The sequence below is a fragment of the Homo sapiens genome, chromosome 15 (assembly GCF_000001405.40).
Source record: "Homo sapiens chromosome 15, GRCh38.p14 Primary Assembly".
Lineage (NCBI taxonomy): Eukaryota > Metazoa > Chordata > Mammalia > Primates > Hominidae > Homo > Homo sapiens.
The window spans coordinates 82,700,489-82,716,822 of NC_000015.10; the positions used below are offsets into that span (position 1 = coordinate 82,700,489).

General features: G+C 50.9%; 1 protein-coding gene and 1 pseudogene across 5 annotated transcripts in view, besides 2 other annotated features; both read right to left on the minus strand.

Annotated features, from left to right (window-relative positions):
* AP3B2 (adaptor related protein complex 3 subunit beta 2) overlaps window positions 1–9,387 on the minus strand; it is a 50,595-nt gene extending 41,208 nt beyond the window's left edge. For all 4 annotated transcript variants that reach the window (NM_001278511.2, NM_004644.5, NM_001278512.2 and 1 more), the window contains exon 1: window positions 9,106–9,387. In NM_001278511.2, coding sequence (NP_001265440.1) covers window positions 9,106–9,218 — 113 coding nt within the window. In that variant the 5' untranslated portion in view covers window positions 9,219–9,387. The remainder of the gene's footprint in view (window positions 1–9,105) is intronic.
* Window positions 8,911–9,170: a silencer, noted in NCBI's record as "silent region_6752". NCBI's record gives its function as "represses an Ori minimal core promoter by ATAC-STARR-seq in GM12878 lymphoblastoid cells {active_cell/tissue: GM12878}" and the evidence as "EXISTENCE:reporter gene assay evidence [ECO:0000049][PMID:35858748]".
* Window positions 9,391–9,440: a silencer, noted in NCBI's record as "silent region_6753". NCBI's record gives its function as "represses an Ori minimal core promoter by ATAC-STARR-seq in GM12878 lymphoblastoid cells {active_cell/tissue: GM12878}" and the evidence as "EXISTENCE:reporter gene assay evidence [ECO:0000049][PMID:35858748]".
* LOC338963 (epididymal protein pseudogene) lies at window positions 9,983–13,505 on the minus strand (annotated as a pseudogene). Its single transcript, NR_034139.1, has 4 exons — window positions 13,242–13,505; window positions 11,073–11,819; window positions 10,699–10,944; window positions 9,983–10,087 (listed from the first exon to the last, which is right to left on the minus strand). The product of NR_034139.1 is annotated as an epididymal protein pseudogene (transcript).

Consider the following 16,334-nt stretch of genomic DNA (forward strand, 5'->3'; position numbering starts at 1 on the left):
CCTGGGTTCAAGCAATTCTCCTGCCTCAGCCTCCCAAGTAGCTGGGATTACAGGCATACACCACCACACCTGGCTAATTTTTGTATTTTTAGTAGAGACGGGGTTTCTCCATGTTGGTCAGGCTGGTCTCAAACTCCCAACCTTAGGTGATATGCCTGCCTCAGCCTCCCAAAGTGCTAGGATTACAGGCGTGAGCCACCGCGCCTGGCCTGGTTGGCTTTCTTCATTGTATTTGAAACCCCTTTGACCCTCAAGTCCCCATTCCCAGCCTTGCCCTTATGGCTTCACCACCTGGTTCCCGAAAAAGGGAAAGTCTTTAGATGAAATCCCCTGCAGCCCCCTGCCCCAGACTCCCATCCATCTGCATTTATTTACTTATTTATTTATTTAGAGATGGAGTCTCACTCCGTTGCCCAGGCTGGAGTGCAGTGGTGCCATCTCGGCTCACTGTAATCTCCACCTCCCGGGTTCATGTGATTCTCCTGCCTCAGCCTCCTGAGTAGCTGGGATTATAGACATGCGTTACCACAACTGGCTAATTTTTGTATTTTTAGTAGAGACGGGGTTTTGACATGTTGGCCAGGTTAGTCTTGAACTCTTGATTTCAAGTGACCTGCCCGCCTCAGCCTCCCAAAGTGCTGGGATTACAGGCATGAGCCACTGTACCCAGTCTCCATCTGCATTTATACTCTCCTCTCCTCCTGCCCTCTTCCCTCTGGGCAGAGTTGGTCCTCCCTGCTCCCAGGCTAGTCCTCCCACCCAGCTCAGTAAGCCTCCCCTCCCATCACTCAGTGTTCTGTACTTCCTTTCTTCCCTTCAGCCTCTCTCCCACCAATCGCTCCTTCCCATCAGCAGTTAAACTTGCTCTAGGCTCTCCCGCCTAATATTAATAATAAACAAAAATATGGAGTCATACATTTTAAGAAACAAAAAAAAAAACCCAAAATAACAAAATAGACAAACTTCCTTGAACTGAGTGAGGTTCTCCTCCAGCAGCTTTCTCTTTTACAGTCAAATTTCTTGAAAGCAAAATTTCCATTCACTGTTTTATCTACTTACCACCTGTGTGCTCCTTTATTCATTTTAATCTGGCTTTAGATGTCGACTTAGAATGTGGGGTTGAAGGGTCATGATCTCTGCAACTTAACATGGTTCAACCAAAAAAAGTATACGAATAGATGGTTAGATAAAGCAAATAAGGTACGATGTCAATGACAGTTGAATCTAGATGGATGATATACATGTGTTCATTGTATTATTCATTTCATTTTTCTGTATGTTTTAAATCATCCACAACAGAATGCTGGGAAAGAAATAATCTAGCTCCTGTTCTCCTTACTTTGCCAGAATTTATCTCCCAGGGCAGGAGGTGGGGAATAGAGTAGAAAGGAATTGAGCTCTTCTTTGTCAACCAATGGTCATGATTTTTTTCCTTGTTTGATTTGACCTTAATGGGCATTGAAACTACTGACCACTCCCTCCTTCTTGAAATTACATTGTTTTCTTTCAGCCTTTAGTTCACCTCTTGGGTACCTTGAAACACTTTCCACTGTTCTCTGGTCACTTCTAATGTTGGTGTCTTCAGGGTTCAGACTTGTGCAGTGTCTGAACTCATTTTATACCTCCTCCCTGAGTTATCTTCACTTCTGTGGCTTTAATTAACATACATATGTTAATAATTCCCTAATCTCTCTCCTGGAACCCAAATCGTAATATCCAGCTACCTAATAGGGTAATATGTCCCTCAGAGTTTACAATCTCAATATGTCCAAAGCTGGGCTCAACATTAATTTTCCACAAATTTGCTTGTAACATCTTTATTTCCAATTACACTGAATAACACCATCATCCATCCAGTTGCAGGAACTAGTAACCTGAGTAACATCCTTGTCAGGCCTCTGAGCCCAAGCTAAACCATCATATCCCCTGTGACCTGCACGTATATATCCAGATGGCCTGAAGTAATTGAAGAATCACAAAAGAAGTGAAAATGGCCTGTTCCTGCCTTAACTGATGACATTACCTTGTGAAATTCCTTCTCCTGGCTCATCCTGGCTCAAAAGCTCCCCCACTGAGCACCTTGTGTCCCCCGCCCCTGCCCACCAAGGAACACCCCCCTTTGACTGTAATTGTCCACTACCTACCCAAATCCTATAAAATGGCCCCACCCCTATCTCCTTTCGTTGACTCTTTTTTCAGACTCAGCCGGCCTGCAACCAGGTGATTAAAAAGCTTTATTGCTCACACAAAGCCTGTTGGGTGGTCTCTTCACATGGACGTGCGTGAAATTTGGTGCCATGACTCGGATCGGGGGACCACCCTTGGAAGATCAATCCCCTGTCCTCCTGCTCTTTGCTTCATGATAAAGATCCACCTAATGACCTCGGGTCCTCAGACCAACCAGCCTGAGGAACATCTCACCAATTTTAAATCAGGTAAGCGGCCTCTTTTTACTCTCTTCTCCAACCTCTCTCACTATCCCTCAACCTCTTTCTCCTTTCAATCTTGGTGCCATCTTTCAATCTCTCCCTTCTCTTAATTTCGGTTCCTTTCCTTTTCTGGTAGAGACAGGAAATGCATTTTATCTGTGAACCCAAAACTCCGGCGCCGATCACGGACTCAGGAAGACAGTCTTCCCTTGGTGTTTAATCACTGCGGGGACGCCTGCTTGATTATTCACCCACGTTTCAGAGTTGTCTGATCACCGCGAGGATGCCTGCCTTGATCTTTCACCCTTAGTGGCAAACACCACTTTTTGGGGGGCAAGTACCCCCCACCCCTTCTCTCCATGTTTCTACCCTCTCTTTTCTCTCCACGTTCCTGGGGGACAAGCACCCCCGACTCCTTCTCTCTGTGTCTCTACCCTCTCTTTTCTCTCCACTTTCCTGGGGGGCAAAGCACCCCCCACCCCTTCTCTCCGTGTCTCTACCCTCTCTTTTCTCTGGGCTTGCCTCCTTCACTGTGGGCAACATTCCACCCTCCATTCCTCCTTCTTCTCTCTTAGCCTGTGTTCTCAAGAACTTAAAACCTCTTCAACTCACACCTGACCTAAAACCTAAATGCCTTATTTTCTTTGCAATGCCGCTTAACCCCAATACAAACTCAACAATGGTTCCAAATAGCCAGAAAACGGCACTTTCGATTTTTCCATCCTACAAGATCTAGATAATTCTTGTTGTAAAATGGGCAAACAGTCTGAGGTGCCTGATGTCCAGGCATTCTTTTACACATCGGTCCCTCCCTAGTCTCTGTTCCCAATGCGACTCATCCCAAATCCTCCTTCTTTCCCTCCCGCCTGTCCCCTCAGTCCCAACCCCAAGCGTCGCTGCGTCTTTTCAATCTTCCAATCTTCCTTTTCTACCGACCCATCTGACCTCTCACCTAATCCCCAGAATGCTCCTCAGGTCACTCCCCACCAGGCTGAATCAGACTCCAATTCTTTCTCAGCTTCTGCTCCTCCACCCTATAATCCTTCTATCACCTCCTCTCCCCACACCCAGTCCGGCTTACAGTTTTGTTCTGCGACTAGCCCTCCCCAACCTGCCCAACAATTTCCTCTTAAAGAGGTGGCTGGAGCTAAAGGCATAGTCAAGGTTAACGCTCCTTTTCCTTTATCCGACCTCTGCCAAATCAGTTAGTATTTAGGCTCTTTTTCATCAAATATAAAAACCCAGCCCAGTTCATGGCTCGTTGGGCAGCAACCCTGAGACGCTTTACAGCCCTAGACCCTAAAAGGTCAAAAGGCAGTCTTATTCTCAATATACATTTTATTACCCAATCCACTCCCAACATTAAATAAAACTCCAAAAATTAAATTCCGGCCCTCAAACCCCATAACAGGACTTAATTAACCTCGCCTTCAAGGTGTACAATAATAGAGTAAAGGCAGCCAAGTAGCAATGTATTTCTGAGTTGTAGTTCCTTGCCTCCACTGTGAGAGAAACCCCAGCCACATCTCCAGTACACAAGAACTTCAAAATGCCTAAGCTGCAGCAGTCAAGCATTCCTACAGGACCTTCTCCATCAGGATCTTGCTTCAAGTGCCAGAAATCTGGCCACTGGGCCAAGGAATGCCCACAGCCCAGGATTCTTCCTAAGCCTTGTCCCATCTGTGTGGAACCCCACTGGAAATCGGACTGTCCAACTCACCTGGCAGCCACTCCCAGAGCCCCTGGAACTCTGGCCCAAGGCTGCCTGACTGACTCCTTCCCAAATCTTCTCGGCTTAGCAGCTGAAGACTGACACTGCCCAATCGCCTTGGAAGCTTCCTGGACCATCACAGATGCTTTGGGTAACTCTTACAGTGGAGGGTAAGTCCGTCCCCTTCTTAATCAATACGGAGGCTACCAACTCCACATTACCTTCTTTTCAAAGGCCTGTTTCCTTTGCCTCCATAACTGTTGTGGGTATTGATGGCCAGGCTTCTAAACCTCTCAAAACTCCCCAACTCTGAGGCCAACTTGGACAATACTCTTTTATGCACTCCTTTTCAGTTATCCCCACCTGCGCAGTTCCCTTATTAGGCCGAGACACTTTAAATTATCTGCTTCCCTGACTATTCCTAGGCTACAGCCACACCTCATTGCCACCTTTTCCCCCAGTTCAAAGCCTCCTTCACATCCTCCCCTTGTATCTCCCCACCTTAATCCTCAAGTATAGGACACCTCTATTCCCTCCTTGGCGACTGATCATGCACCCCTTACCATCCCATTAAAACCTAATCACCCTTACCGTGCTCAATGTCAATATCCCATCCCCCAGCAGGCTTTAAAAGGATTAAAGCCTGTTATCACTCGCCTGTTACAGCATGGCCTTTTAAAGCCTATAAACTCTCCTTACAATTCCCCCATTTTACCTGTTCAAAAACCAGACAAGTCTTACAATTAGTTCAGGATCTGTGCCTTGTCAGCCAAATTGTTTTGCCTATCCACCCCGTGGTGCCAAACTCATATACTCTCCTCCTCAATACCTCCCTCCACAACCCCTCCACAACCCATCATTCTCTTCTGGATTTCAAACATGCTTTCTTTACTATTCATTTGCACCCTTCATCTCAGCCTCTCTTCGCTTTCACTTGGACTGTCCCTGACACCCATCAGGCTCAGCAAACTACCTAGGCTGTACTGCCGCAAGGCTTCACGGACAGCCCCCATTACTTCAGTCAAGCCCAAATTTCTTCCTCATCCATTACCTATCTTGGCATAGTTCTCATGAAAACACACGTGCTCTCCCTGCTGATCATGTCCGGCTAATCTCCCGAACCCCAATCCCTTCTACAAAGCAACAACTCCTTTCCTTTCAAGGGATGGTTAGGTACTTCCACCTTTGGATACCTAGTTTTACCATCCTGACTAAACCATTATATAAACTCACAAAAGCAAACCTAGCTGACCCCACAGATCCTAAATCCTTTTGCCACTCCTTTCCATTCCTTAAAAACAGCCGTAGAAGCTGCTCTCACACTAGGTCTCCCTAATTCATCCCAACCCTTTTTCATCACACACAGCCAAAGTGCAGGGCTGTGCGGTTGGAATTCTTACACAAGAGCTGGGACCACGCCCTGTAGCCTTTCTGTCCGAACAACTTGACCTTACTGTTTTGGCCTAGCCCTCATGTCTGCGTGCAGCGGCTGCCGCTGCTTTAATACTTTCAGAGGCCCTCAAAATCACAAACTATGCTCAACTCACTCTCTACAGTTCTCATAACTTCCAAAATCTATTTTCTTCCTCACACCTGACGCATATACTTTCTGCCCCCCTCCACTACCTCTCAGAAAGCTTAACTCATTGCCTTAACTCGAGCCCTCAGTCTTGCAAAAGGACTATGTGTCAATATTTATACTGACTCTAAATATGCCTTCCATATCCTGTACCTCCATGCTGTTATATGGGCAAAAAGCTTTCCTCATTACACAAGGGTCCTCCATCATTAATTCCTCTTTAATAAAAACTCTTCTCAAGGCCGCTTTACTTCCAAAGGAAGCTGGAGTCATTCACTGCAAGGGCCATCAAAAGGCATCAGATCCCATCGCTCAGGGCAACACTTATGCTGATAAGGTAGCTAAAAAAGCAGCTAGCATTCCAACTTCTGTCCCTCATGGCCAGTTTTTCTCCTTCTCATCAGTCACTCCTACCTACTCCCCCAATGAAACTTACACCTATGAATCTCTTCCCACACAAGGCAAATGGTTCTCAGACCAAGGAAAATATCTCCTTCTAGCCTCACAGGCCCATTCTATTCTTTCGTCATTTCATAACCTCTTCCATGTAGGTTACAAGCCGCTAGCCTGCCTCTTAGAACCTCTCATTTCCTTTCCATTGTGGAAATCTATCCTCAAGGAAATCACTTCTCAGTGTTCCATCTGCTATTCTACTACTCCTCAGGGATTGTTCAGGCCCCCTCCCTTCCCTACACATCAAGCCTGGGGATTTGCCTCTGCCCAGGACTGGCAAATTGACTTTACTCACATGCCCCGAGTCAGGAAACTAAAATACGTCTTGGTCTGGGTAGATACTTTCACTGGATGGGTAGAGGCCTTTCCCACAGGGTCTGAGAAGGCCACTGCGGTCATTTCTTCCCTTCTGTCAGACATAATTCCTCAGTTTGGCCTTCCCGCCTCTATATAGTCCAATAACAGACCAGCCTTTACTGGTCAAATCACCCAAGCAGTTTCTCAGGCTCCTGGTATTCAGTGAAACCTTCATACCCCTTACCATCCTCAATCTTCAGAAAAGGTAGAACGGACTAATGGTCTTTTAAAAACACACCTCACCAAGCTCAGCCACCAACTTAAAAAGGACTGACAATACTTTTACCACTTGCCCTTCTCAGAATTTGGGCCTGTCCTCGGAATGCTGCAGGGTACAGCCCATTCAAGCTCCTGTATAGATGCTCCTTTTTATTAGGCCCCAGTCTCATTCCAGACACCAGACCAACTTGGACTGTGCCCCAGAAAACTTGTCATCCCTACTATCTTCTGACTAGTCATACTCCTATTCACCATACTCAACTACTCATACATGCCCTGCTCTTGTTTACACTGCCGGTTTACACTGTTTCTCCAAACCATTACAGCTGATATCTCCTGGTGCTATCCCCAAACTGCCAGTCTTAACTCCCTCTTAAAGTAAATAAATAATCTTTGCTGGCAGGGCTATGCTGAACCTCCTTGGGCACTCTCTAATTGGATGTCCTGGGTCCTCCCAATTCTTAGTCCTTTAATACCTGTTTTTCTCCTTCTCTTATTCCATTTAGTTTTTCAATTCATACAAAACCGTATCCAGGCCATCACCAATAATCCTATACAACAAATGTTTCTTCTAACAACCCCACAATATCATCCCTTACCACAGAATCTGCCTTCAGCTTAATCTCTCCCACTCTAGGTTCCCACGCCACCCCAATCCCGCTCGAAGCAGCCCTTCAAGGCTATGGAGAAGCAGTATCTCTCCATACCACCCCCCGCCAAAATGTTTGCTGCCCCAACACTTCAACACTATTTTATGTTATTTTTCTTATTAATAAAAGAAGACAGGAATGTCAGGCCTCTGAGCCCAAGCTAAGCCATGATATCCCCTGTGACCTGCACGTATACATCCAGATGGCCTGAAGTAACTGAAGAGTGAAAATGGCCTGTGCCTGCCTTAACTGATGACATTATCTTGTGAAATTCCTTCTCCTGGCTCATCCTGGCTCAAAAGCTCCCCCACTGAGCACCTTGTGTCCCCCCACCGCCAGAGAACAACCCCCTTTGACTGTAATTTTCCACTACCTACCCAAATCCTGTAAAACGGTCCCACCCCATTTCCCTTCGCTGACTCTTTTTTCGGACTCAGCTGGCCTGCACCCAAGTGATTAAAAAGCTTTATTGTTCAAAGCCTGTTTGGTGGTCTCTTCACATGGACGTGCGTGAAAATCCTCATCTTCTCCCCCTGTCCCTCTAAACCCCCACCCAATATCCAATTAATCATCAGGTCTGAGGCTTCCACCTCTTCCACAGCCTCAAATCTTCTGCCTCTCCCCTGGTCTAGGCCACAATCATGCCAGGCCTGTGAACTTCAAGACCCACCTCCCTTGTCTCTTGTTCAATCTGGCCCACCTCCAATCTCTTCTCCACAATGCAGCAGCCTGACGTCCTTCTAAAATATAAATCTGATTATGTCGCCTGCTTAGAATCCTTCAGGAGTCCTCCCCACCCTCTTTTCTGGTCAGTCCAGTGGCTCACACAGATTGTGGCCTGGCTCTCAACCTTCCTGAAAGCCCTTTCCTCTGCCTGGAACATACCTCACGCTCCTGTCTTCCTTCTCTCCGGCGCCAGAGACTAGGTCCTCTCCCTGCTCCCACTGCCCCCATTACACTCGACTGTCCCTGACTGCTTCTTCATCTGTGCTCCCCTCTAGAGCATCGTGAGGACAAGAAGGGTCTCATGTTCACAGTTGTATTCCGTGACTAGTTCAGGACTCGACACAGTTGGCTTTTCATAAATGCTTGTTGCAGAATTTACGAATAAACAAATGAAGAAACAAACGAACGAATCAAAGGTGGGGGAGGGTGTGAAGGTGGAGCTGAACTACAGGGGCAATGCCAGGAGCAGGGATGTGAGGGTCAGATGGAGATGGGGACCAGAGGGAGGGGAAATGAATTTGCAGCAGGGCCAAGCTGGGAGGCTGTGCAAGTACATCCAGGGCCCGCCTTCCTGAAGAGGCCCCAGGCTCAAGCTCAAGTTCGCTGACTCAGACCCCTCCCCCACATTTTTGGGAAGCCAACCCGCCTAGCACGAAAAAGGAAGGGAACCCCTAACGCAACGCCGCAAACCGGAGAAACACCTGGAACCGGAGGGTTTCTCCTCTCGAAACTGAGCTGGCCCATCCCCCGCCAGCCCCTATCTGCCCCCCTCCGCGTCCTAGGCCGGCCCCTGGAGCCGGGGTGCCAGCGCTGCCCGCGCTGGGCCGGGGCTCCAGGCCGCAGGAGGGGGCCGGGCGGGCTTCCGGTCGGCGCGGCCGGGGCGGGGCCGGCGCTGGGGCCGGGCGCTGTCCATGGTGCCCGCGCGCCTCGCCCGGTCCCCGGCCCCAACCCTCCCGCGAGCTTCCTGGCGGGCTCCCTCACCGCTTGTAGTCGGAGGAGAAGATGCCGCCGCTCGCGGGGTCGTGGCCGTACTCGGGCTCCCCGGGGCCAGCGGAGCCGCCCTTGTCTTCGCTGTAGGCGGGGGCGGCCGACATGGGGCGGCCAGGGAGACTTCGCCGAGGAGGAGGTTGCGGGGCCGGAGGCCGGCTGGAGCGGAGGAAGGGAAGGCGGGCCGGTCCGGTCCGGGCTGGCGAAGGCGGCGGCGCGGCAGGGGTTCAGCAGAGGCTGCAGTGTGCAGCGGCGGAGGCTGCGCGCGGATTTCTCAATCAGGGCCGCGCGCTGAGGTCTTAAAGGCACCGGCGCCAGCCGAGCGGAGGGCGTGTCCGCGAGGAGGCGACAGGGGCGGTGCGTCAGGGCCTGGCCCCGCCCATCCCTAGGAAATGCCCTCTTCAGGGCGTCTTCTGCCCTTTAAAGCGACTTGGCTCGTCTCCAGATCTAAAGGTGGGCGAGTCTGCTGGACGGACGCTGGGACCGTCTTGCAGGGGATGTGGAATAGCTGCCCCCACCCCCGACCACCTGGCCTCGGCGGGACGGGCCTCTGGGGCTCCGCTCTCCCCAGACGCACGCGCGGATGCTCACCCACGCCGTGGAGGGAAAGCGGGAACTGGAAAGAAGGCTGTGCCCGCAGGCTGGGGGTTCTAGAGCGGGAAGGGGTCACCGCACCCGAGGACCGGCCTCAGATACCTAAGGACGCTCCCTTTCCCGCCCCACCTTTCCTACAAAATCTGGCTTGGCAGCAGGAAGCCGAGGAGCTTCCTGGAGGTGGCGGAATTTAAGGAATTAAGGTCAGGGAGCTCCGAGGAGCCCTTGGGGGCTTAGAGAGATGGGAAACAGGATACAGAGGACGGTGAACATCTAATTAAGCTTTGGAAAGTAGTTTAATGAATCTTTCTGAAGCCTCCACGTCCACCCAGGAGGGCCAAGGTCATGCTTAATCCGGGGACACGTCCACGTCCATTGACACCTGAAAAGGAAGAGAAGGGTCTGGTGTGACCACCAGGGCTCCTGAGTCATGTGAGCCCTCCAGTTCAGCTCCCGAGCCCGAGTGACCCCTAGGCCCAAGGAAGGAAGGCTTGGATCCGATGGAAAGTAGTGAATTGGGCTGGGGGAAGAGGTAGGATCCAGTTGGGCATCAGTTGAGGTGGCTGGAGTCTTTTAGCTGGGCATGGGGACTGGAGGAGTTCCTAAGGCCTGAGTCTTGGTCTGTAACTAGCATCCCGAAGTCTCCATGGGCAGAATTGGCGGGCCTACCTGGGAAGGAGTGGGGCCCAGAAAGGTGGAGCTTGGCTCAGTAGAAAAGTTCTATTGGGGGTAATTCTACTGGGGTAAGGTTCTATTGGGGTAATGAGAAGGTTCTGTTGGGATAACCTAGACAAGTGGGTGGGTCCGCTTGGTTCCGGTGGCTTTGTGCCTGCCAGAGAAAAGTGGATCTTGAATTTGGAGAAAACTGGCCTGGGTGGGGAGTGGGAAGAGAAGGGCCTGGATTTTGCAGTTGCGCGTTTATAAGGCGCTTTGGCTAGTCTGCTCAGGAGGTGGGATGGGTCCTGTGCAGGTAGCTGGGCCACGCTCACCGACCTGCTGGAGCTCCCGTCTATTTGCCGGGGGTCCAGGCTGGGACCTGGGACGAGCAGACACAGTGCAAAGTGCACACAGTTGCTGCGCATGGAGTGATAGGATGGTGGGTCCGCGTCCGTCGCTTCGCTCACTCTGCGCAGCACGCGCCAGCAGGAGCGCAGCAGCGGGCGCTGCCCCTGTTTGGATACGATGCCTTTCCAGGAGCCCAGAAACTTCCCAGGAGCCCACAGCCTCCTGAGTTCTTGCCTGCGGGGATCGCCAGAGGGGTGCGGATCAGAGCCAGGCTTAGGTCCTATGCCCTGTGATCCCGCACCCCCATTTCCTGAGACCTCAGGGACCCTGAGTGCCCAAACCCCATTTTCAGAGAAACGTACCCCCAGCCTGGGACTTCAGTCTTTATCCCCGAGTAGCCAGCTCACTGGTGGGGCGTGGCTTGGCTGGGCAGCCTCTCCGCAGACTTGGGCCTGTGTTTCTGCTGGAGGCACTCACCCTCAAAGTGGATGATCTCTCCATGGCCACAGTATATGCCAACGTGGGCCCCGCACCAGCGTCAGGTGGGGGGAATCAGCCTGAACAGGAAGACGTCTCCTGGCTCAGGCTCCCTGCCCTCCAACTACACAGCCTCGAAGTGTTGACCCAGGAAAGCCTCAGAGAGGAAGAACTTAATGGTGCTGACTGCCCCAGTCAGGGCCTGCATGGAGAAAGGGACCTGCCTTCCTGGCGTTTACACAGGCCTGGGATAGGGAGGAGGTGGGTCCTTCCAATGACCATAGGTCGGATGGTCTGCCCAGGGCTCAGGGAGACCTGTCTTGGGCTTGGGCCCAAGGCAGAATGTCTTCACTGCCACACACTTGCCTCCTTGTGCTTAAGGGACTCCAGAGGTCCAGATATCACAGATACATCCTGCCTCGAGCCCCTACTGAGAACCCTTCAGTTCCAGCAAATGGTGCCTCCTCCCCATCCAACTGTCTTCTCATCTCAAAGTCCAGCCATTCCATTCTCTCCTCCTCCCCCCTGCGCTAGGATCCCCTTCCCCAACCAGCTCCCATCTTGCCACTGCTCCTGAAGGCAACACCAGGGACTGGGTGGGTGTCAGCTGGTACCTGAGTTGAGCAGAAGACCTGAAAAAATCGGGAAACCTGGATGAGATTTGGACCTAGGACAAGCATCTCCTCCCAAGTCTGTGTGGAGAAGGACCTCTCCAGAAACCTCTGTTGAGCAGCTGCTCATTTGATCCTTAATACAATCACAAGATAGGAACAATGTCCCCATTTTCAGGATAAGGAAACAGGTTTACAGAGGCTATGTATCACTGGAGTGCACGCAGCTAATGTATTCCTGCATGTTTCTGTGCCCTGTGCCCTTTGTACTAAAATCAGTCACCTCTCTTAGCTCTTCTTCCTCCATAAGGAAGTGAGAAACCTGCTTAGTTCAGGCTTCTCCCATCTCTACTGGAAACAGAAGGCTTTTGGGACTTGGGAGGATGGCCCCATTGCCTGCACTGTGCCTGATGTTTGATCTAAGAGCCTGGGAAAGTGGGTGAAGGTAAGACCTGTGGGCATGGAGCTCTCCAGGGGTGTTAGAGGAGCTGGGAGCAGGAAGTAACACACTACCGCCAGGTGTCTGGGCATCTTTGTTGGAAGGAAGCAGAATTGGCTCCAGCAGATTTGACTGGGGTGGGAAAGACCCATATGCAAATGAAGAGCCAGGCTGCCCAGGCCCACCATGCAGAATGCCAGCTACTGTGTGGCTCACTGTGTCTCTCCCATCCCTGATCCTTCCTTTTTCTCCTGGCCCATTCCATAGTATCTTCTGCATTTTTTTTTTTAAGATGGAGCCTTGCTCTGTCTTCAGGCTGGAGTGCAGTGGCACGATCTCGGCTCACTGCAACCTCCGCTTCCCGGGTTCAAGTGATTTTCCTGCCTCAGCCTCCCGAGTAGCTGGGACTACAGGCACCCACCACCACGCCCGGCTAATTTTTATATCTTTAGTAGAGATGGGGTTTCACCATCTTGGCCAGGCTGGTCTCAAACTCCTGACCTTGTGATCTGCCTGTCTCGGCCTCCCAAAGTGCTGGGATTACAGGCATGAGCCACCTCACCCAGCCAAATCTTCTGCTTATTACTGGGTGAGTCTCATTTTCTCAGACTGGGAGCTATGGAAGACCCAGGTGACCAACTCATCCCAGTCTGCCTACAACTTCCCATGTCTTAAAATTGGAAATCTTGCATCTCAGGAACCCAGGAAAACCTGAATATTGGGTTCCCCTAGGATCCGGTCTCCCCCTTTCCATCTCCTGCAATCTCAGAAGGCCACAGGGAGAACCCAGTCATGTAAACAGCTCTTTGGCTTTTGGTTATGCTCTCCTACCATCTACTAGGTAGCGAGGGCACCTTGAGCCCTACTCCCCTCTACCCTCACTCCTGCTGGGCCAAGCAGAGGTTTACAGCTATGGAAGAGGGCAGACTGTTCTGGCCCCTGTTGAAGCAGTGGGCACCCCACCTGTGGAGAGGACAAGACAAGCTGAAGACTTCTCCAGTTACCTGAGATGTGAAGCTCATCTAGGGAGAAAAAAATAAAAAACCCAGCCGTCACCACATGGCCACTGAGGAGGTGAGGACAGAGGCTGTCCAGGCTCTCTCCTCTCCCCTCTGGTTGTGCACTCCTCCTGTGGAGCTGCTTGTCTGTCATTGCATGGTTGTGCATTTGATGTGCATGTGAGTCTGCACTAAAATGCTGGACACGACACGGGACTGGGATACCCAGCCCTGGCTGTGCCACCTCTCTATATGGGACATCAAACCAGCCCCTTCCTCTCTCTGGGCCTCAACTTCCTGTGAACTAGGGACAATAAGCTCCAAGGGCTGGACATCACAGGGCCATTGTGAGGCAGTAAGAGCTCTCTGTGAGCTGGGTAAGGCTAGCTGGCAAGGTTTGTTTATCTAAAGTCTGCCCCTAAGCATGCAGATGTGGTTGTGGAGAGGAAGGGTGGGGAGAATACATCTTTCCCAGCTCAGAGAAGAAGAACAATGGGCCCTCAGAGGCTGGCGGCCTCCCTGTGACCCCTGCCCCAGAGCTCTCAGGGAATCACCTAGATGGAAAGGCCCTGGGGAGCAGGGCCCCACCCCGACTCTCCCTCTGAAAGTACCCCAGTGCTGGTGGGGGTGGGGAGGCACTTCAGCCACCATCAGCTAGGCGCTAGACTTTGAGTCAAGGTCTGATGAGGACATGCTCCTTCAGATAGGGGATGTAGGTCCACACATGGTGCTCCATCCATAATGATTGATTGCCAAAAGCTGTGCTAAAGCATCATTTAGCCCTAACAATAATGACTTGAAGTAGATGATGTTATACTTCCCATTTTACAGATGGGGAAACTGAGGCTTGGAGAGGTTACAAGCTGGTAAGCGGCACAACCAGTATTCAGGCCAAGTGGTCTGGCTCCAGTGCCCGTGTCCTTCACCACTGTACAGTATCATCTTTCTCACGCTGCTGGCATGTGAGGTCCCCCTTCCCCAGACTCAACTGCCAGGAAGTGCTGACCCCCGTATCCTTCCTGACCTGGAGAAACAGCTACCCTTCTTAGTTTTTGCTGAGTCAAGCCACCGTTTTCTTTGTAAGAAAGAAAAGGGGGCAAGGCCCTGGAGCTGTAAGAGCCCAGGGAACAGAGACTCCCACTCCTGGGGCACCTGGCCTGATCATGCCACCCACCCCATGGGGACTTCTTGCTGGGGGCCTGAGCTCTTCCTCCCCTCACCCTGACTAAGGCTTTCAACAGAGCAAAGTAATGAGGGTGGTCCTGCAGCTGGGTGTGAGGGTGACAGGCAGTCTTTCTGAAGCCCAGGGCCTTTCCCCAGAACCGGGCCCCTGCAGGACCCCAACCAGTGGGGTCAACCCAATTTAGTGACAAACCTAAATTATCAGCTCCTCTCCTCACCCTTCAGTTTAACCTTGGACAAAGTGTGCCTCTGTGGAAGGCAGGGCTTTGGGATCACTGCTCCTAGCCGCCCACCTTCAGCGGGAACAAGCATCAGGGAGTAGGCAGTTCCATAGCACAGCTTGCTTCAGCCCGTCTTCCTTCCCATACAGAGCCTTTGGTTATCCCTTCCCTCTTGGCACAGAGCAATCCCACTTGAATCTGAGCCCCCAGCCCAATTAGCTCACCTTGCAGTGGCCACACTCACACCTTGCTAGATGTTCTTCTTCTGTGGCTAGAGAAGGAAGGACAAGCTGTCCATCCTTCAGGCAGATAAAGGGACCAAGAGGGAAGCCCTGGGGCCCTGTTCATCATCATTGCCCAGGCCAGTCTGACAGCAGCACTCCTTCCTCCTAGCAGCTCTGAGGCTGGGGTCCAGGTGGGTAATTGGTGCCCCCACCACCCCCTCCTCAATCCTCCTGGTGTTCAGTCCTACCCAGACCTGCTTGTGCCTCCTCTCTGACCTGGCTCTTCTCCTTCCACTGACCTCCAATGTGCTCAGATGCCTGCCACATCCCCAGACTGTGGTCAGAGAACAGTGAATGATTTAAATCCCTTTAAATTTACTGAGGCTTGCTTTATGGAGTAACATATGGTCTACTCTCGTGAACATACCATATGTAATTGAAAATGTTTATTTTGCAGAGTAGGGTATACTATAAATATCAATTAGGTCACGGTAGTTGATAATGTTCAGATCATCTATGACTTCACTGATTTTTTGCACAGTTTCTCTGTCAGTTGTTAAAAGAGGGATGGTGGCCGTGTGCCATGGCTCACGCCTGTAATCTCAGCACTTTGGGAGGCCGAGGCAGGTGGATCACAAGGTCAGGAGTTCAAGACCAGCCTGGCCAAGATGGTGAAACCCTGTCTCTACTAAAAATACGAAAATTAGCTGGGCATGGTGGTGGGTGCCTGTAATCCCAGCTACTCAGGAAGCTGAGGCAGAGAATTGCTTGAACCCAGGAGGCAGAGGTTGCAGTGAGCTGAGATTGTGCCACCACTGCACTCCAGCCTGGGCAACAGAGCGAGACTCCTTTGTTGTGGGAAGTCAGGGACCCGAACTGAGGGACAGGCTGAAGCCATGGCAGAAGAACATGGATTGTGAAGATTTCATGGACATTTATTAGTTCCCCAAATTAATACTTTTATAATTTCTTATGCCTGTCTTTACTGCAATCTCTAAACATAAATTGTGAAGATTTCATGGACACTTATCACTTCCCCAATCAATACCCTTGTGATTTCCTATGCCTGTCTTTAATCTCTTAATCCTGTCGTCTCTTAAGCTGAGGAGGATGTATGTCACCTCAGGACCCTGTGATGATTGCATTAACTGCACAAATTGTAGAGCATGTGTGTTTGAACAATATGAAATCTGGGCACCTTGAAAAAAGAACAGGATAACAGCAATGTTCAGGGAACAAGAGAGATAACCTTAAACTCTGACCGCCGGTGAGCCAGGTGGAACAGAGCCATATTTCTCTTCTTTCAAAAGCAAATGGGAGAAATATCACTGAATTCTTTTTCTCAGCAAGGAACATCCCTGAGAAAGAAAATGCGTCCCTGAGGGTAGGCCTCTGAAATGGCCACTTCGGGGGGCGGCCATCTTTTATGGTTGAGCTGTAGGGATGAAATAAGCCCCAGTCTCCCCTAGCAC